We start from the raw sequence: 20,954 nt of genomic DNA, 5'->3' as shown, positions 1-20,954 counted from the left end.
AAGGACCACTGCGGAGGGGCCTGAGGGGCTGTGGGCAGAGTCTCACCTGTCAGGGTCATCACTGAAGAAGTAGCTGACTTCCCCAAAGGTGCCTGCATCATTGTCAGTTGCCTGCAACAGCGAGAACAAGAAGTCATTACTGCCAGGCCCAGCTGAGGCTTCAGGTCCACAGGAAACCCATGTTCCTCTCGCACGTCTCCTTTGGCCCAGGGTGAATTTTCTGAGGCCCAGACCCCAGTGAGGCCTGGTGAAAGCCTGCTGCCAGTCTGGGTTAGGAGCGGGTCAGAAGCAGAGTGGGACAGAAACTGGCCTCTCCACCGCCACCAGGTGTTCCTCCACACACCAGGTGTGGCCATCCCAGGGAGGCCCTCCTCCATCTCCCCTGACCTAAAGTTTTAATGGGGGTTTGGCTTTTGTGGCTTGGAATATTGGCTTCCATATTGTCCCTGGCATGGTTCTAATCCACAGTGCAGGCTAAATGACATCGTTCATTCACTCAACAGTTACTTATGAAACACATAATCCATGCAAGGATTATGTACTGTCTTGATGCCTCAGTTTCCCCATCTGTAAATTGGAGGTGGTGCTAATAATAGTACCTACCTCACAGGGCTGTTGTGAGGGTGAAGAGGTTGTACATAATCCATGCAGTACTTCGAGACAGTAAATAATCCATGCAGAGGTCTAGATGTGACCTCTGCTCTCTTCCCAGACCACTGCCCCAGAGCTGGGCAAACTGCTGCCTGCCACCAGATGCCCGTAGGGAAAGGCCTCAGACTGACTTTGGGGTCCACTTGCATCTGTTTTATATTTAAGGTATCTCTATAAGATTGTAAGTGGATAAAGCCCTCATGGCTAAAAATGTATTTTGATCCCTTTGCGCTCAATATTTTTGAGGTTCCTTTTAAAGTTCCTGGAGTCTATTAAATCTAGTAAATTCTATGTTCTTTATGATAAGCCTGAATTTTCAAGGAAAAGCTAATTTGTGTTTAGTACATTCAGTTCAGGAAGGCAGATAAGTGAAAAATATATTTCTATCCCAAATGAATGAAATGAAAAAAAGTTTATACCCAAAGGATTAAGATCTTAGTTATCCAGAAAACTTGGCTATACAGAAAGATGCCATTTCTGGGGGCTCTGGGCTGCCAGCTTGTATAGGGCTGCCTCTTGTGTTGGATTTCCTTTCAATATCCCCACAGCTTATGCTCCTATAGACGGTGCAGACCTCTGTCCCCGCCACCACCCCAGCCAGGCTCAGAGCTCATCCCAGGTTCTCAGGGGGTGCATGCTGAACAAGTGAAAGGAAGGCACTGAGCCATGTCACCACCCTCCAACCCAGGACTGGCTCCTGGACGGGGCCTCTCCCACTGCCTGTGCCATTCCTCACAACGGCAGCAGCGACTGCTGGCTCCTGCACGCCTTCTACCTACAACCCCTTCACCCTCACAACAGCCCTGTGAGGTAGGTACTATTATTAGCACCACCTCCAATTTACAGATGGGGAAACTGAGGCATCGAGACAGTACATCGTTCACTCAAGGCTTCACAGCTAGAGAAAGAACTGTGCTGGGTTTGAATCCTGTGCCACCTAGCCATGCCCTTGCCCTCCATCAGTGATTGCCTCTGAGCCAAGAGGGGCGCTTGTTCTCAGAAGGAAGGGAGCCTGGTTATTCCAGGCGAGAGGAGACCACACTGCCCAAAGTAACCCCAGATTCATCCTCATTTTACAGGGACGGAGGAGAAGGGGAGCAGGAGGAATCCCAGAGTCCTTCCCACCCCCAGGTTCCACTGACAATCATGGTCATCAATGCATGGTCTTGTTGGACTGTTACAACTGCAGCTTGGTCTTGGGAAGATCTGACTGCCATGTCATTGAACCCCTTGGCGAGGGGTCACTGTGGTGTGGAGGCCTCAGTTCCAGGTCACTGTGTGACCAAACCATACCTCCTTGGCCCCCATCATTTGCCTTTGTCAAAGGAAAAGGGTTTGGGGAAGGACGAGGGCAGGGCAGGCACCTGTGGGGCTCACTGCACAGCACAGACGGTGCCTGGCATGCAGTAGATGCTTCATAAATGCCTGAAAAATGAATAAGAAGGGGGTGGTGCAGAGAAAATAGGGAAGGGGCAGAGAGACAGCGGTGAAGACAAAGAAGGCAGGACTCAGAAGAAAGAGGACAGAAGTGAAGCAAATGACAGAAAGAAAAGGAAAAGGGAAGTAGAGGAGAGACAGCAGGCTAGGAGGTGGAGGAGAGCAGCTGAGAAGCAGAAAGTGGGGTGTGCAGGAAGGGAGGGGCCTGGGTCATGGGGGGTGTGCTGCCCCTGGAGAAGGTCACATCTGAGCCCTGGGGATGAGCCCTTCAGATCTGGGTGCCCCACAAAATTGCTCTGGACTGTCAGGACGGGAAGGATATGTGAGGTGCCTGCATCCCATCCCCTTCACCCTGGGGCCTGGAGCAGCTGAGGCCCAGGGAAATTAGGTGATGAGTGCCAGGAGACAGGACTGGACTGTCTTAGAGCAGAAGCTGGCTTCACACCCCCAACCCCTGCAAGGCTTGGCCTCCCCTGCCCACGTTGGACTGGGCACAGCCATGGTTCCCACAGTGACCCTTGTCCCCAGGGCCTCTCACTGCCTGCCCAGGCTGCGGATGCTGATCAGGGAAGATTTGTGAGTCCTTCAGTGCCACCGCCTAATGACCATGTGAAATATGTATGCCTGGGTGAGGAGGAGAGGGAGAGCTTCATTTTTCAAGTGTAGGAAGCCGAACTAGATGAAAAGCTGCTCCTTGCCTCTGCCAGGGTGAGGGCAGCAGCACTGACCTTGGGCCTTGATGGGTGCGGGGCCAGTGCCGGGCTGCAGCAGGGCCTGTCAGGGGCCCTGGGCCTGGGAGGAGGCGGTAGATCTGTGCTTGAAGGAAAACCCCTCCCCTCCTACACACATTGTCGGCCCTGAATGTCTAGCCTCATCTCTGACCCAGACTGGACCACGTGTAGCTCCCAGGACCTGGCTCTGCCCCCTCCGCTTGAACAGCGCCCCTCCCTCTCCTGCCTAGCTCACACCCTTCTGCCCTCCCTGACCCCCAAGGCAAAGTTAGGGCTCCTCCCTGCGCACACTCAGTATTCCCAGCCCTGATCACACTGAGGCACTGAAGCTAAGGTTAACGTGCGTCTCCCCCAACCAGGATGTGGCTCCCAGAGGGCAGCGTGGGGTCATGGGGTCCACATGTGCCCAGGGCCTAGTATAGGGCCTGGACATAAAGGCAGCTCAAGAAAGGTACGTCTATCTCTGTCACCTATAACTACAACTGCACCCACGTTCTCATGACACATATTAATGTATGAATTTAATTTTGACCAGAACTCCACAGGTAAGTACTGTCATTACCTCCCACCCACTTTTGCAAGTGAGGAAACAGAGGCGCAGTGGTGTTAAGTGACTTGCTCAAGATCTCACAGCTGGTGAGTGGAGCTGGTCTTCGTATTCCCAGAGCAGCCCCCCAGATGCTGGCTGACCCGACTCCAGAGAGGACCCACTGTGGCTGCTCCACCGCCCACCTGCCATCCTGCCCTATCCAGGCAGCAGGGGCAGCGACTGAGTCTATCCCAGCCCCAATCTGCTTGTCATGGCACCGTTTAAACAACCTCCTCCCAAGCAAGACTTGTTTGTGGTTGACCAACTGAAAGTCCAACAGACAAATAAAGTGGCAGACAGACAGTGACCCTTGGGGCCCATTTTAGGAAGGAGGGTTCGAGGAGTGCCAAGGGCCTATGTATAGAGAACAAAATTTCCTCTTCCTGCTGCAAACACCCCCTTCCCTGCAATGTTCTAGGAATGAGCATCTCTGTCTCCCTGCAGGGTAACTTCCAGGGTCTCACAGGCCAGCCAGATGGTGACAGGGATTGGGGAAGGGGATGGCCCAGCTGGCCATTTTCATATTGTACCTAAAAAATGCCAAACCAAAGGCCAGGCATGGTGGCTCACACCTGTAATCCCAGCACTTTGGTTTGGGAGGCCGAGGCGGATGGGTCACTTGAGGTCAGGAGTTCAAGACCAGTCTGGTCAACATGGTGAAACCCCATCTCTATTAAAAATAGAAAAATTAGCCAGGCATGGTGGCAATTGCCTGTAGTCCCAGCTACTCAGGAGGCTGAGGCAGGAGAATTGCTTGAACCTGGGAAGCGGAGGTTGCAGTGAACCGAGATTGCACCACTGCACTCCAGCCTGTGTGACAGTGAGACCCTGTCAAAAAAAAAAAAAAAAAAAAGATGCCAAATCAGGGCTCCAGGTGAGCACCTCAACTGTGCTCCAGGCTCCTCCCTCTGGTGTTTCTGTGTCTCTGTTGCCATCTAATGGCTCCCCACTGGCTCTAGGCTGGCACTCAGAGGTACACACTAGTGCATTTTACTACTTGTGAAGGCTCTCATAAGAGGCCCAGGGGCAAAAAGTCAAAGCCGGTAGCTAAAATTATTGTCCTTCTCTGCCCAAAATCCTTCAATGGCTCCCTATGATCTGCTGAATTAATTTCAGATCCATACCCTAGTGTCCACAGTCTGGTTGGGCTTAGTGTTCTCGTATCTACCTCTTCCCTGGTACACCCCAGACTGTTCTCTCATTGCTGGTTCCTCTATCCTTTCCTTCTGTAACTGCCTTCCAAACTCTGATCCACCCCCCAGGCCCATCCCAAATGCCCCTCTCCTAGAGTCCCTAACCATTCACTGGTCTTGACCCGGGAGCCCCTCGTCATCCCTCTCTTGGAACATGTGGCAGAATCTGCCATTCCTGAAAACTGTCTGTGTGTGCCCCACTTTCCTCCCTGTGAAGGAGAGAAGTTTGTCTAACTCATTTTTGCATCGTATGTAGTACCCCCATACAGGGCTCAACATCTCTGCCCAATTTAGTAGAATGTGTGATTTCCACTGCCAGCCACGGAGGGCCAGCATAACCTTCCTTCTGTGGGGCTGATACCCCACCATCAGACACCATGGTGGGCAGCAAGCAGCGACAGAGGGGTTGCTGGATTGCATGGGGCGAGGCGGGGTTTATAGAGCACCTCCAACACCCTGGCCCCTGCCGAGGCTCCCTATTGCCCCTGCCCTGCCCAGAAGGAGACAGGCACAGAGGATGTGCAGGAGCAGCTGAAGATGCCCGGCACACCTCTGAAGCCACCTTCATGAAAACAGTGACCAGACACTTGTTCAGTCACATATTTAGTAAATTTTTTTTTTGAGACGGAGTCTCGCTCTGTCACCCAGGCTGGAGTGCAATGGCGCGATCTTGGCTCACTGCAACCTCCGCCTCCCGGGTTCAAGCAATTCTCCTGTCTCAGCCTCCCGAGTAGCTGGGATTACAGGCGTGAGCCACCTTGCCCGGCCTAGTAATATTTTTTGAGCTTTTCCAATGTGCTGGCTGCTGTGCCCAACAGTGAAGTCACATCCTAAGCAGGACAACCTGGACTGCCACTTAAAATCAGAATGGGGAGGCCAGGCACGGTGGCTCACGCTTGTAATCCCAGCACTTTGGGAGGCCAAGGCAGGCAGATCACCTGAGATCAAGAGATCAAGGCCATTCTGGCCAACACGGTGAAACCCAGTCTCTATTAAAAATACAAAAATTAGCCGGACATAGTGGCACATGCCTGTAATCCAAGCTACTCAGGAGGCTGAGGCTGGAGAATCGCTTGAACCCGGGAGGTGGAGGTTGCAGTGAGCAGAGATGGCGCCACTGCACTTCAGCCTAGTGACAGAATGCGACTCCATCTTACAAAAAAAAAAAAAAGTCAGAATGGGGAGACAGATCACCAAGGGGAGAAATAACTAAGTAATGTAATTCCAGGCAATGGTAAGAACTACGAGGAAAACAAGGCTGAAAGTGGGCTTGAAGGTCACTGAGGCTGCTGGCTTAGAAAGATTCATCCTGGAGAAGCTGTCTTTGGGCAGGTGTATGCCAGTCTATGGGACAGTCATCGGCTGCGCACCTAGAAGTCCAGGTAGCTCCTGGAGAGAGGTGGGCACTTGCTGGCACCAAGGCCTGGAGAAGGCCTCAGGAAGCCTCTGCCTCCCCATCAGCCTCCCTCAGCAGAACCATCAGGGGAAGATCTGTGAAGATCAATGGCCGCTCAGCGCTCAGCACTGTCCTTGCAGTCAGCCTCTGCCCTACAGTCAGCATGTGGGGGAGAGGGTGCAGCCGAGACTGGCTGCTCCCTAGTGCCTGATTTATAAGGCGTTCCTTCTGATTCTCCCCAATGCTGGCATTACCAGCAAAACTAATTCTGTCATTTGGGCCTTTATAATCGCATCTGCAAGTGCTTATTTCTGTGATGGACAATGCCGGCAGAAGTGTAATTTTCTTCTGCTGACAAAAAGGAAAAAAATAAATACATACGGGGGTGAAAAATTCCAAGGTTAATACAAGGTGATTGGAGGAGCCTGTGGTGGGGGAATTGCTACATGCTTGGACTGGTGAGGCCTGAGTCAGCAATGCCAGTCTTTCTCCTGGCTGTAGCGAGGGGAAGGGGCAAGAGGGTGCCCCTCTGACATTTCGTTTTGAGCACTTAACTATGTGCCACCAAATTTACCAAGCATTTCCTGCACTTTATTTCATTCAGTCTTCCCAACAGCCCTATAGGACCAGCACCATAGTATCCCCACTTTATAGATGAAGGAGGGGACAGAGACTCAAGAGAGATCAATCGACTTGGCCAGGGTGAAACAGTCACAGCGCTAGAACATGAATCAACATGGTTAACTCCAAGGCGTGTGCTCTTAAGACCTCCCCTCCCTTGCTCCTCCCTTTGGTGGGGCTGGGGGAGTGAAGTCTGAGCCTGAGAAGTCTGAGTCTGAGCTTGAGAGCTCGGCCATGGGATCCAGGGTGCTCCTACTAGGGTCATCCTCCTCGCCCTGTTGAAGACCGATGGGCCCCCACAGGCAGTTTGCCCTTCTTGCCATGGTGGCTTCTGCTCCCTACGTTCTGCTTGGAAAGAGCGGGCTCCCAGCAACTCTAGCTATGCCTGCCAGCAAAGGTGGCAGGGGTCTCTGGCTGTGGTGGCAGGGGTCTCTGGCTGTGGTGGCAGGGGTCTCTGGCTGTGGTTTCCCAGGATGCAGCCCCTGAGCCTAGACCCTCAGATACCCAAGCAGGTGCTTCCCACAGACCCTTAAAGAAGGACTCCACCCCATCCCAGGCTTGGTCTTGGTCTGTGCAGGTGGCTTAGGGCCTGGATTGGAGGGAGCTGTGTGGCCCAACCTGAGGCCACCTTGGAAGGATGGGGCAGTCTGGCTGGCTGCAGGTGCCCTTCCTGACCCACCTGGGGCTTTTCCCATGGCACCCTCTCATGTAGTCCCCCTTCATCTTGTGCATTCAAAACTCTATGTCCAGCCCAGCTCCCGGCCCTCTGGTGCTCAGCGCAACATCTTATGCCCACTCTCTGGGGACCCGCTATTCCAACAGTGTTCAGGCCCTCCTGTCTCTTTGTCCCCTTCCTGAGAACCCCTTCTTACCCAGGCTTTCTTTGCAATTAACAGTCATCATCTCTCACCCTTTTCCATTGATTTGCCCTGGAACAGGGTCCCCCACCTTACAGGTTGCCTGCCTTGTGTGTCTTCGTGTCATCTCTCTTCCTGTGTCTCCATACTTCCTACTTCTTTAAACACATGCACGCACCACACACAACCCCTTTCTCTTCCTCTCTCTGCATCTCAGGCAGCTGCGAACAACTTTCTGCATCCTGTACCCCCTGCACACTCTCCTAGAAACTTTCCTTTTCTCTCCCTGTCTGGCTCAGGTAGACTCTACTCAGAGGTCTCCCACACCTCCACCCCTCACACACACACGCGCACACACACACACACACACACACACACACACACACACTCTCTCTCTCTTTCTCTGCCTCAAGCAGCACCCCTACTTGTCTCCAGCCCAGTCTCAGCCCCTGTGGTCTCCTCCACACCCCCTCCCTAGACACCTGGGTGTCTGTCCCTGCAGACCACAGGCTGGCAGGCACGCACTCAATCACTCCTCACCAGCGCCCACACTCCCGTCACGCACGCACACTCACAGGAATGCCCCGCACGGGGCTTCTGCTCTGAAGCAAGGCAGGCCCAGCTGCCTCCGCAGCAGCCCTGGGTCCCAGCAACAGAGGCAGGCGGCCGGTGCCGGTGAGGAGTTCTGCTCTCATGCACAAATCTGCAGAGAAGGGCACGCGGTACAATTTGTTCAGGAAACAATAGCAATGTTTGACATGTCATAAGGATTGATGGAGCAGAAATTTACATGGGAGAATGCATTTTTAAACAGCTCTGTGGAGCCCCGGTGCTTCGCTGGTAATGCTTTCCTCATTCATCATTCACTGAGCCCCTCTGTATAAGTCCTTAAACTGTGTGAGATTAACTGCACTCTTGTAAGCTCTGGGGGGTTGGAGTGGCTGGCAGGAGGTAGGAGGACTCTGCTGCAGGAACCCGGTAGCCCAGAGGCCAGGGTGACCTCCACATGCCTGCTGGGGCCCCCGAGGCCCTTTTTCCTTCCCTCCCATAGTGCTGTGGACAAGGGTTCCAGCTTCTCTCTGGCGTGTGAGGTAGAAGCCAATGGCCAGCAAATACCATCCAGTCTGCCCCACACTTCTAGGAAAATGCTTGGAGCCTTGATTTTCCCCTCTCATCTCAGAAGGAAGTGATTTAATCTGAGAAGGAAGCCAGGGCTGGATGGATGGGAGCATGGTGGGTGTTAGATGGGCAAAGGGGAAGTGTGGTGGGAAGCTGCTCTCTGAGTGCCTTTATGGGCATTCCTGGGGGTGGCCATGCACCTGGGAGAAAAGGAAATGATGGGTGCTTGAAGGAAAATGGCTCCCATTGCATTTTGTGTGACGGATAAGAGAGTACACGTCCTGGGTTGGCAATGGTACCAGGGAGTGAGCGGTGGGGTGGAGGGGAGATATTGGGGGGCTGTGATCACAGGAAAAGGCTCTCGTGCCTGCTCTGGGCCTTCTGAGCATGTGGGAGGCCGTAGAACAAGAGGGTGCTACTGGGAAGGGGGGCTGGGCTGGAGGCTCAAAGCACTGGTTGGGTGGAGGGACCAAGCAGGAGAGCAGTGAGGACAGGATGGGGACCTGACTAGTGGTGAGGCCTGCAGAGAAAGGGAAGGGGACCTTCCCTCCCTTTTGTTCCATTGTGGACTTGGGCTGGACAGCCAGCACTCCATCACCAGTGCCAATGGTAGACATTCCTAATGGATCACGGCATTGACTGCAGAGGAAGCCTCAGAATATCTCTCAATCAGTCTTTCCAACAACCAGTTGCAGGTGGAACTTGTGTTAACGCATCTTTGCTATCCTGTTGGACTCTCTGCTCCTTGAGAGTGAGAAATGTGCTTCTCCCTGGGGGGTGCAGTGCAAGACCAGGCACAAAAAGCCTCCAAAGGGATTTGTGGCCAGGTGCAAAGTCATGGAAATCCCACTGAGCTCGGGGGTGGGACCTGGGTTCTGCCCTACGTGCACGTGGGACGTTGGGTAAGACACTGGGGTTGGCCAGCATGCTGCATATGCCTTCTCCGCAGTGCCTGCTCCTGGCTGTCCTTGTGCCAGCGTCCATCCTCAAGCAGCCTCCTCACCTCGCCCACACACTGCCCTCTGCTCCTGCCTCTCAGACAGTCACTAGGCTCCTAACAGGCCAAGCGGCTGCAGCCTCACACCCTTTGCACCCACAGGTCCCTCTGCTAAGTCACTCTTCCCCAGATCTCTGGGTTGCTGCTCCTTCTCTTCCCTGCGACCTCAGTGGGCACACTCTGATCTACATTTGCAAAGCACTTGCATTTGTAAAAGCAAACTCTGACTACAACTCCAGGGCAGGAACAGAGGCTCCGAGATGAGGCAGTTAAGGCAGTCACACAGGGGTAGTGGGAGGCAGTGGGGGCTTGGACCAGGGTGGTCAGGGAAGTCCAGCTGGATGTGGCTGGACTCCAGGTATGTTTGGAATCTGGAGCTGACGGTTCTTGCCAGCGGATAGGTGTGGTGGGAGAAAGTCATGGTTTTGGTAAGAGCACCTGGGTGAATGTTGACTGGGCTTCCCCCCACCACTAGAATATAAGCTTTATGAGGGCAGGAACTGAGTCTGTCTTGTTTCCCAGGGATCCCCAGCACCCATCCAGTGCCTGACACACAGGAAGCCCTTAACAAATATCAGCTAAATAGATGAAAGAATAAATGAGATATCTGATGACTTATGAGGATCTTTTTTTAGCAGACAAGCTAAGGATCTTAATCCTGAGTAGATGGACTTCTAGGGAGGAAAGGACATCAGAAAGATGATGATGGGGGCTGGGGGAGAGATAAAGGAAGATGGGGAGGGGAGAGGGAGAAGGAGAGAAAGGAAGTGATCAAGGGAGGAGGAGAAGGAAGAGGGGAGAGAAGGGAGGAGGGGGAAGGGGGAGGAGATCAAAGGAAGAACAGAAGGAGTAATCACAGTAATATCTGCTCTGAGCCTCAGTTTTCCTATCTGTAAAATGGAGGTAATGAGAGCACCCACCTCAGGGAATTATTGTGAGGATTAAGGAAGGTAATGCACACAGGTGCTTTAGCTCTGTGCCCAGCACACAGGCGCCGCTTTCTAAGTGGAGCTAGTATTATTATTTCCACTTCCAGTTCTACAAGCTCTCTTTGTCCAGCCCTCTGCAAACATGCTGCTGCTGAGCCTCCTCCCAGGCCAGCCCTCCCACCTGCCTGTCCTGTGCCAGCAGCGGGTCCGTGGAGGTGGAGCGGAAGTGGTGCTAAGCCCTGCAGGAGGGATGCTCTAGGGAAGCCAGGCCCAGCCCTGGGTGGAGGCTGATGGGTGCTCTCGAGGTGTGAGGCCCTCGGCTTGTTTGTTATCACAGACATGGTGGTGTTCTTGGGCTCCGAAACCTTCTTCCTTATTTCCCTTTATTTTATTTTAAAACCTGGAAATAAAAATTGATGGGGAGCAAATTGCTCTGGCCAGCAGCTCTGGGCTTAAAGAAGTCGTAGTGGGGGAAGCAATTACGGTATGTCAAAGGCTGTCAGGGTGGCCGGTGTCTGCCTGTGCCAAGTGCCTGGCACCACCTGGTGGTCTCTGGGGCCTCTTGCTGGGGAGATGCCTGGAGGAGGGGTGTTGGGCTCCCCTCAGAGGCACAGGTCATTCCCTTGCTGAGTGCCATCTGTGGACCTGGCACTGTGCAAGGCACTTCATGCAACCAGTCCGTAATCCTTTTTTTTTTTTTTTGAGACAGAGTCTCACTCTGTCGCCGAGGCTGGTGTGCAGTGGCACGATCTTGGTTCACTGCAACCTCCGCCTCCTGGGTTCAAGCAACTCTCATGCCTTAGCCTCCAGAGTAGCTGGGATTACAGGTGCCCACCACCATGCTTGGCTAATTTCCTAATCTTTAAAATAACCAGAGACACAGGGGTCACATTCCATTTTACAGGCAAAGAGACTGGCTGACGATAACTGCAAAAATAGTAGTAATGCTCACTGATTTAATCCTTACTGGGTTCCAGGCATTATTCTAAGAAATGCACATGTATTGACACATTTAATCTTCACTCCCACTCTATGAGACAGGTACTAATACTACTTTCATTTTATGGACAAGGAAAGCGAGGCTCAGAGAGGTTAAGCAACATGCCTGAAGTCACAGTTCCCACACGGGGCAAGAAAAAAGACCCAGCAAGGCCAGAGGTTAAAAGTCCAAGGATGGTGTAGACAGGGAGTGGCAAGGGAGGCAAGGGCCGAGAGGAGTCCAGGGACCATGAGTCAGTCAGGGCTTCCTGGAGGAGGCAGAGCAGAGCTGCAGCTGGAAGAAGAGGTGGGGCCTTGAGATGCAGGGGAGACGGCATTCCCGGCAGGCAACTGAGGGAGAAGCCCAAGGAGGCTGCAGTCTGGGGTGGGTGGTTCAGAGACGGGTCGGGGCACGGAGAGAAAATACGAAAGCCGGCATTGGAAGAGCTGTCAGGTCCCCATGGCTAGCCCTTCACGTCCTTATCAACATGTCCCTGTCACTACTTAAGACACCTTCAAGGGTGTGTAATGGGTTGAATGGTGACCTCCCAAAATATAGATCCATGTCCCAACCTCTGGGACCCACAAATGTGACCTTATTTGGAAAAGGGGACTTTGAGAAAATAATTATGTGGAAGATTTTGAGGAGACCATCCTGGGTTATCTGGGCAGGCCATAAATCCAATGACAAGTGTCCTCATAAAGACATCCAGAGGAAAGGCACAGAGAAGACGCATGCAGAGACTGGAGTTCTGCAGCCACAGGCCCTGAACGCCTGGAGCCTCCAGAAGCTGGGAAAGGCCAGGCAGGATTCTCCGCTCAGCCTGAGGAGGAAGGACAGCCCTGCCAGCCCCTCCATTTCAGATTTCTGACTCCAGAGCTGCAGGAGAATACATTTCTGTAGTTTTAAGCCGCCCAGCTGGTGGCACCCTAGGAAACGGATACAGGCGATACCCAGGGAAGGGGCAAGGGAGCAAGAAGCTCACAGTCAGAAAGGACTTGGGCCCTCTCTGGGGCCAGTTATCGAGTTGGGATGATGTGGTAGAAAAGGAAAAGGGGAAGGGCCTGAGAGATGTGGGGACAGACACCGTGTCTGAGGCTCAGTTAAGTGGGACATTATGAGCCAAGGAGATGAGAGAAGGGGGCAAAGACAGTCCAGTCAACCCCCTGGGGGTGCAGCGAAACCTGGGCTGGTAATGACGCCTCCTACCATGACAGCATCTTCCCAGTGTCCCCACCACAAGTCATAAGTCTGACACCCTCCCTCCTCTCCCTTGCCCTGTGGGATACGCAGGTGTCAGGCAGCCCCCAGTCTAGTGGGAAGGTGGAGAGAGGTACCTGGGTGGAGGCTGGTCACTGCCTATGCTCCAGGGACATGTCCTCACTCCAAGGTGACTTGGTGCCTGGCAGGACACCCCCCACGCCTGTCACTGGCGGGTGCTGATTGGGTTGGCACATGCGGCTCACTAATGAACCATATTGATTCCACATTCTCATGTTGTCTCCCTAAATGGCAAGCCACACATCTGATAGATTAAATACCCACACGATTGCTCGCCTGACATCTCCGTCACTCCGCCCGCAGGTCCCTGATGAATTTTACAGCCCCAGGCTGCCGGAAGAAATTAAGGTCAAAGTCCCACGCGGGAAATATAAATCACCCATGATCTGTGAGACCAGCAGAGGCTGCGGGCCCAGCCCCTCACTCACCTGGGCCCACGCAGCCCAGGGCTGCACCGTGATGGTGCAGGGATGGTGCAGCTGGGTTCTGTGTGTGTGCGCGCAGGGTGTGAGGAGGCGCGCAGGGTGGAAGGGGGCGCGCTGGGTGGGAGGGGGCGCGCTGGGTGGGAGGGGACGTGCAGGGTGGGAGGGGACGTGCAGGGTGGGAGGGGGCGCAGGGTGGGAGGGGGCGTGCAGGGTGGGAGGGGGCGCGCAGGGTGGGAGGGGGCGCAGGGTGGGAGGGGGCGCGCAGGGTGGGAGGGCGCGCAGGGTGGGAGGGCGCGCAGGGTGGGAGGGGTACGCTAGGAGCACCCATGCCAAGAAGCAGCCCTCACTCCCAGTCCCCTGACATTTAGGTTTCCTGACTCCTCTGCCCACCCCACCCCAGTTATCAGAATGTCCTAAGGCAGGCTGGAGAAACCCACTGAGAGAAGAGCCGCCTATCTCATTTATTTGCTTCCCAAGGAATCCAAAACACTCTGGCCTCACTGTTTTAAAAACGTCCCCAGAAGGTAGAGAGGGCACAGTAACATCCTCCCCATTTTGCAGATGGAGAAACGGAGGTGTTCAGAGAAAAGGGGCTGGTCCAGGGTCATTCAGTGAGTCAAACACCTGAATCTTCTGACTACCAGTTTGTAGGTGGCGATACAGTGGAAGCCTAAAGGGCTCTTTTGTCCTGGCTTTGTTCCCTTTTTAGGTGGGTGGGTGGGTTTCTCCTGCAGGAGGCTGGGCCGGCAGAGGGAGCGCTGGGCCTGGGTCAGCTTGTATGTTGGCTAATCAAGTTCAGTTTCTGTCTCGTCACATCTCAGCCCTACAGATTCGCCAGGCTCTCGGGGAGCAGTTCAGTCTCCATGAGGGGGCTGCACTGCCCCATGGTTAAGGGAAAGAATTTTGGCATCTTGCAGACAAGGAGGTTCGTGCCTCCGTTATGCCCCTTTCATGGGAGTGTGGTCTGACACAGAGCTACCTTCTCTGAAACTCAGTGCTCTCATCTACAAAATGGGGAGGATAATTTCAGCCTCACCAGGTTGTCATGAGGCTTCGATAACACACGTGACAGGAGCGCAGCTTGGCACCAGGTCCTCAATATTAGTACCTATCATTTGATTAGCACCTGGTCTGTGTCAGGCATTGGGCTAAGCACTTTACATGTATGATTTCACTGAAGCCCACATAATTCTACAATGAACTATCACCACCCACACTTCCAAAAGAGGAAATGGAGGCACACAGAGGTGATCTGGCAGAGACTAAACAGCCATGCCTTCCCTAACTTTCACAAATTAACAGAAACTGATTTTTTTTTTTTAAGGTGGACACAATGCTACCTGGCTAAAAATGCTAAATTTCCCAGCCTCCTTTGCAGCTAAGCACAGCCATGTGAGACGAAATTTTGACCAGTGAAGTGAGATGAAAGCAGAAGTTTGCAAAGCACTTCCAGGAGGTATCCTTAAAAGGGAGGGGAGGTTCCCTTTTTCATTTCCTCCATCCTGTAGCTTGAGAGACGGATGTGATGGCTGGAGTTCTGGCAACCACCTGGGACCATGAAGATGAGGGACACACCCTAGGGGTGGTGGAGAAGAGAGCTGGAAGGAGCCGCCCAAGGCTGGTCATCTGTATACTGCTTTTACATGGGAGAAAAATACACCTTGATCGTATTTAAACAACTGTTTTTGGGGTCTCTGTTGCTGGTGGCTGTACTGGCTCATTGTTGATACAAGTAACCTATTCAAAATCATAGCTCAGAAATGGCTGAGTCAGGCCGGGCGCGGTGGCTCACTCACTTTGGGAGGCCGAGCGGGGTGGATCACGAGGTCAGGAGATCGAGACCATCCTGGCCAACATGGTGAAACCCCATCTCTACTAAAAATACAAAAATTAGCTGGGTGTGGTGGCACGCGCCTGTAATCCCGGCTACTCAGGAGGTTGAGGCAGGAGAATCGTTTGAACCAGGGAGTCAAAAGTTGCAGTGAGCCAAGATCGCACTATGGTACTCCAGCCTGGCAAGGGAGCGAGGCTCCGTCTAAAAAAAAAAAAAAAAAAAACGGAAAGAAAGAAAAGAAAAGAAAAGAAACAGCTGAGTCAGGGTAAACCTGGGTGATCTAAGTCTGGAGGACGCGGTCTTTATCCCTTTGCTCCCTGTAGTGAACACTAGAGAAATACAAGTTGATACTACCTTCCTCCTCCTCATCAGATGGTGAAGCAGAGAAGGCTCCTTCTAGAGAGGTTCAAACTTAGTTTGGTTGAACATCTATCCATTAGTTGGTCATGAAATCAATCTAGTCGTTCATGGTTAGCACTTAGAAAATGAAATCTAGCAGAATTAAATCAGAAAACACTAGAGTGTATTATTACATGTGTTCAGGAAGTACTGCTTTGCTGGAGATAAGTGTCCGTGTGAGTATGTGTCCTGGGTCATGAAGTTAAATGTCGTTTTTATGACAGGCATATGGAACTTTGAGCCACTCCAGAAACAAGCTGGTAGGAACCACAGCTACTATCCCCTGTACAGAGATTACAGAGTGAGATTAAGCCACCCCAAACCCACAGAGCCAGCTCAACCTCTCCCTAAACCTCTGTGGGTCCCCTACCCACCTGCTGCTCTAGGCTTTCTCCCAAATGTTCCCTGGACAAACTCTCAGGCCTAGTTCCCAGTGGCTGCTTCTGTCACTCTCTCCCCTCTCTCCCCTGTCACCTGAGTTCCAGGGCTCATAACCTTCCTAGCTCATGGCACTGGTGGACTCTGAACAGGCATTTGGTCTGCAGCATTTACAAACTCATTCTGGCGCTGGCCACTTGTACAGCTGCCCATTGTCCCCTGGCCCAGGGGGTCCATTGTCTTCGCTCTGGTGTTCTCTGAGTGATTGTCTGAGCAGGAACAATCAGCAGCGAACCTACTGAAGGGTGACTTCTGACAGGAGCAGAGCACAGGGTGTCACGGGCTCTCTGTGCTGGAGGTGACTGTCTACAGGAACACTCAGGTGTTGTTGGCACAGGGGGCCTTAGAGAGTGTCCAGCAGAACCCTTTCATTTTCCAGATGAGGACGCTGAGGCCCCTTCAGCCATGGACCTGCTCAAGGTCACCCAGGGAGTGAGCTGCTTCCACCTTGCAAGCCCACTTTCCCTGGACTTTGGAGACAGCTGACTCCAAAAGGCTGGAGCCCAGCTTGGGAGGTGAGCCCTGAGGGTGACTGGCAGAATGGAGGGGAAGCCAGGGGCTTTGGGGTCAGACCGTCTGGGGTCTGAATCCCGGCATGGCTGGTCACTAACTGGCTGGCCTGGGACACGCCGCTCACCTCTCCGGGCCCCAGCTTCTTCTACACAATGGGTACAGAAGAGACAGGGAACGCCCTGTAAAATGCCTGGCATTCACTAAGCTCACACCACTGCTTCACCAGGCCTGGGATGAACGCAGTATCCTCTTGTTTTGGCAAAGGGGCAAAGATTAGCCGCAGACAGAGCTGCTCGGTCAAGGATGGTAGATTCTGGAAGTGCTGGTGACAGAGGCTGTGGAGTGCTTCAAAGGCGGGACAGGCAGTGAGGCCTTAAATCAATTTGCCAAAAATCAATTTGTTGAATGACCAATCAGCTGAAAACCATCAGACCTCACACAAGGTCCAGGACAATTCACTTCCGAGGCAGAGGCGGGGGCACCCCAGCCGCAGTGGAAGAAAGGCGACAGCCTGCTATGTTCTCTCTCTCTCTCTCTCTCCATCTCTCGCTCTCTCCTCCCTCCCTCTCTCTTCCTCTTTCTCTCTCTCTACCCCGGTCCTACCTCTCACTCCACGCCATTTAGGTTTCAAAGACAGATATTTAGATTAAAGAGATAAACACAGGCGAGGGGCGCTGAGGCCTGACAGAGGAACTCCGGACCCGTCAATCACTGACAGCCAGCTCAGCCTCCTCCAGCTCCCACCCCAGCCCCTCTGAGGGAGATGAACAGAAGAGCCCATTAAAGGGGCCCAGAAGTACATCCGTAGACACCCCCAAATGGGAGCGAGTGTGTCCACAGAGGCCTTCCAGGCCAGCCTGGGGGCAGGGCTGGAATGACCTACTATTTTCTGTGTGTCTGTGTGTGTGTGTGTATGTGTCCCTCTCTATTTAGCCTCCCTCTTCCCCTCCCCAGGCTGCAGATAAAGAATTCAATTTTCTTTTAAACGGTGGGGAAATTGGAAGAGATTTTGTTCTGTTTAAGCACAGCTGGAGTCTCAGGTCTCAAGGGTTTGAGAACAATGAGATCAATTAAGATGCCAATGGTGGGGGTGTCAGGAGGGGGTGGGGAGGGAGGATACCTGGCAGGGGGGTGCTGGGGAATGCGCTGGAAGAGCTGAGCAGGCTCTGGAAGTCCAGCTTCTGATGATTCTTGGGCAGAGGCGCAAGGGCTGTCTACCCTGCTCTGACCGGCTTGTCCTCTTGGTTTTGCTAAAGCCTGTGGACCGGGCCTACCTCTTGGGCCCTGTTATCATCTCCCAGGCTTACTAATAATTCACGTTGGCAAGTTTTGTCATCAGCTTTATACAATGGTAGAATCAAGTCGAATGGATGCTATCAGAAGCAGGGAGAGACGACTATTCTAGAAAACCATGGAGAACCCTGGAGGTCTGACACAGCAGGCATTGGTACGCTTTTGGAGCACTTGCTGTAGGCAGGCCCTGGCCTATGACCTGGCCATACATTATTTCATAGCATTGCTGAGATAGGAATTACTCTTCCCATTTTATAGTTGAGAAAATGGAAACCCAGAGCCCTTCAGTCACCGGCTCAAGGCCAACCTGCAGGCAGGAAGCCGAGGCAGGACCCCAACCCCGCCTAGGGCCTACTTGCAGCCCTTTCCACTTGACATTCGGGATGGTGCAGGGCCCACCTGGTCAGTCAGGCGGAGATGGAGACGCATGCACCTTGCTGGCCTGGGAAGGAGAAGAGTGAAGCAACTCCAGCAAGGGTGGGGAGAGGAGGGTGAAGCAGCAGGAGGGATCTGGACTTCCACTGTCCCCACCTGCGTGGTTGGATACTCATCCTTCCCTGCTTCTTGCAGTAGCCTCAGGGCAGGTCTCCAGCTTCCACCCTGGTCCCCTCCATCCCCTACCCCCCGCCTATTCTCCACTGAGGAGCATCGAGGAGATCCATCCTCAGGGCTCTCCTAGACTTGCTACCCACGATGGGCTCCCAGGCCTCATCACCTCCCGGCCTCCATGCCCCTCCTGCTCTCTGTGCATCCACCACAGCCAGGCTGTTGCTCAGGGTCTTTCACCTGCATCCCTCACCTGGGCTACTCTTTCCTGCATTTTCAACCTGGATCCCAGCTGGCTTCCTTCCAGGTTGTTTCATGTCACTTTCCAGGAGAGGCCTGTCCTCCTGCACCACTTGATATAACGATGCAGTAGCAACCCCAGCCCTGGCACTCCCCGCCCCTGCCCAGTCGTATTTCCCCACATCACTCATCCCCATCCCATGGGCTCTGAAATTCCTTGTTCATCATCTGCCTCCTGCCCCTGGAACAGACAGGGAAGTTGTCTGGCTCACCACTGTCATTCCAGGCCTTAAATAGTCGCTGGATTTGCATCTGGAGGGCACCCTTTGTGCCAGAGAGTGCAGAGTTCTGCTCTGGGAGGGGAAGGAGGAGAGCAGACGATCCAGGGAGACACAGGGGCTCCCAGAGGGCCAGGAAGGCCCAGGGCACCTGGCCCTGCCCAGAAGTAGCCAGGGAAGCAGGGTCAGCTCCCGCCCACCTGTCTACAGGGCCAGACTGAGAGGCAGGGCAGATTTCAGCGTTGACCTTGGACTCGTATGCCCTGATTAGGACTAGGAGGCCCAGGCGATCCTGGAAGCTGGTGGCCATTACACCTCCCTACCCTTGGCCTTGGTCCTGGGGCTGCGGTCTGCATCCCCAGGGATGCCTGATCTATGAAGGGCATTCAGAAGGCCTCCAGCCCATCTTCTCCTTGGACTGAGCAGGAAACTAAGGTCTGGAGAGAGTATGAGAATGGGACAGGGTCACACAGCAACTCAGTGGCCTGGAAGCCAGGCCTTGGGGTTCTCTGGCCAGCAGTCTTCTGCATATGCTTGTCACCCGAGGGGATGTTGGGGGAGCCTGGCACAGAGAGTGAAATGTGGGGTTATGAGGCTTCAGGCTTGGACAAACATCTCCGTTGCCGATGGGCTGGGTGGCCTTGTGTATGTAATTTACCATCTCTGTGCCTCATGTGTCCCCATGAGGCCTCTGCTAACCTTCTCCTGCCCACATTCCTTCCTCCAGCAACTGTCCTAGATACCCCAGACCACCCCAGACACCAAAGTAGGAGTCCAGCCTACTTTGTGTTGCATACACCATGGGTGGGGCCCCTGAGACAGAGAGAACCTGCTTGGGGAAGGTTTTCAGTGGCGTGGGGAAGGAACACTTGCCAGCGAGCCCTCATACAGGGGTGGGAACAGCCACAGACAGCAAGGCACACAGCATGCTGGGGCCCCAGAGAAGAGGCAGAGGAACTCGAGAGGTGACACATGCCAGTTACCAGGAAAAGTGGGCTTTTTAAGGCGGTGCTGCCAAGGAGGCTGGCCCTGAGGTTCAGCAGATTTTGATGGTCTCCAATAGGAAGGAGGGAGAGGCAGGTGAGTAGCAAGTAAAGACGCCGTGGCAAGAAAATGCTGAGGGTTGAGGGGTGTTGAGGATCTGAGTGGGCAGGAGAGAAGGGTGTGAGGGGTATGGGGGCAAGGGCTGGAATAGCAGCTCAAGGCCAGGCTGCAGAGGCCAACCCAGGTCTAGAAGGCTTGAATTCCACTGGCCAGGGAGTGCCTGGGACAGCAGGGATCACTGTCTTTTCACTTCCCAGTCACGGAGAGCTCGTCCCAGGCTGGAAAGGGGATTTGCAGGTTTCCCTTCTGCTCTCCTGCTTCCTTTTGTGCCCTCCAGGAGGAGGTGAGGGAAATTGTGGCATCATGGCACTGTGCTCATGCATGACTGCTCAGAAGTGGTATGGAAAAGTGACCTCTGAGTGTTTCTATGACATTTACGTGTGTGTAAATTCTTGGACGTTCTCTCCATTGACAGCTGGGGAGATCTACGTCCTCTCTCCTTGAATCTGGACTTGCCCTGGTGACTTAAAACCAACAGAATTCAGCAGAAATGATGCAGTGTGACTTGGAGGCTGGGTTGAAAAACGCCACGCAGCTTCTGTCTGGATCTCTTGGGACACTCCTCCCCCAGAGGCCTCCCTGGGGGTGCGCCTGCTCAGAACTCCCATGCTGGGAGATGTCCGGACACGTGGGGAGGCTACATGTGGGTGCTTGGGCCACAGTCCGGCTGCACTCACCCTTCAGCCAAATGAGCCAAGGGCACAGTCGTGGCAGGGTGAGAACACCATCAGAATGGATCCTCCGGGCCCTCTGTTTCCAGACTCCAGCTGGTCGAGTCACCTCAGATCCCAAGGAAAGAGAAGGCCTCCCTACCGCACCCTTTCTGTATTCCTGACCCACCAAATCCATGAGCCATTTGTATTAAAAACAGCTATTGCTTTATGCCACTAAGTTTGGGTGGTTTCTTATGCGGCAATAAGAACTGAAGCAAGCTCTGTGGGAACAGAAGGCCCCAGCACTTCAGCCTTTGCTGACTGTTGACTGAATGTAGGGATCGATGAAAACCGTGGAGAGCCACTGAGTTTATTTGGGCAGAGAATGATAAACTCCTGTGCCAGGGCAAGCCACGTAAGCTGCAGGGCCCAGAGTAACATGAGCACGCAG

General features: G+C 53.6%; 1 protein-coding gene across 3 annotated transcripts in view, besides 2 other annotated features; it reads right to left on the bottom strand.

Moving 5' to 3' along the window:
* The window catches only part of CDH23 (cadherin related 23), a 419,028-nt gene that overhangs the window by 140,725 nt on the left and 257,349 nt on the right, over positions 1–20,954 (bottom strand). For all 3 annotated transcript variants that reach the window (NM_022124.6, NM_001171930.2, NM_001171931.2), the window contains exon 15: positions 47–111. In NM_022124.6, coding sequence (NP_071407.4) covers positions 47–111 — 65 coding nt within the window. The remainder of the gene's footprint in view (positions 1–46; positions 112–20,954) is intronic.
* Positions 16,446–17,169: an enhancer, noted in NCBI's record as "OCT4-NANOG-H3K27ac-H3K4me1 hESC enhancer chr10:73417811-73418534 (GRCh37/hg19 assembly coordinates)". NCBI's record gives its function as "activates a minimal SCP1, AML or CMV promoter by ChIP-STARR-seq in naive H9 embryonic stem cells {active_cell/tissue: H9 hESC(naive)}" and the evidence as "EXISTENCE:reporter gene assay evidence [ECO:0000049][PMID:30033119]".
* Positions 17,170–17,893: an enhancer, noted in NCBI's record as "OCT4-NANOG-H3K4me1 hESC enhancer chr10:73417087-73417810 (GRCh37/hg19 assembly coordinates)". NCBI's record gives its function as "activates a minimal SCP1, AML or CMV promoter by ChIP-STARR-seq in primed H9 embryonic stem cells {active_cell/tissue: H9 hESC(primed)}" and the evidence as "EXISTENCE:reporter gene assay evidence [ECO:0000049][PMID:30033119]".

This window comes from Homo sapiens, chromosome 10, assembly GCF_000001405.40.
Source record: "Homo sapiens chromosome 10, GRCh38.p14 Primary Assembly".
In the NCBI taxonomy this organism is placed as follows: Eukaryota; Metazoa; Chordata; class Mammalia; order Primates; family Hominidae; genus Homo; species Homo sapiens.
This window is presented reverse-complemented; position numbering and strand designations above follow the sequence as displayed.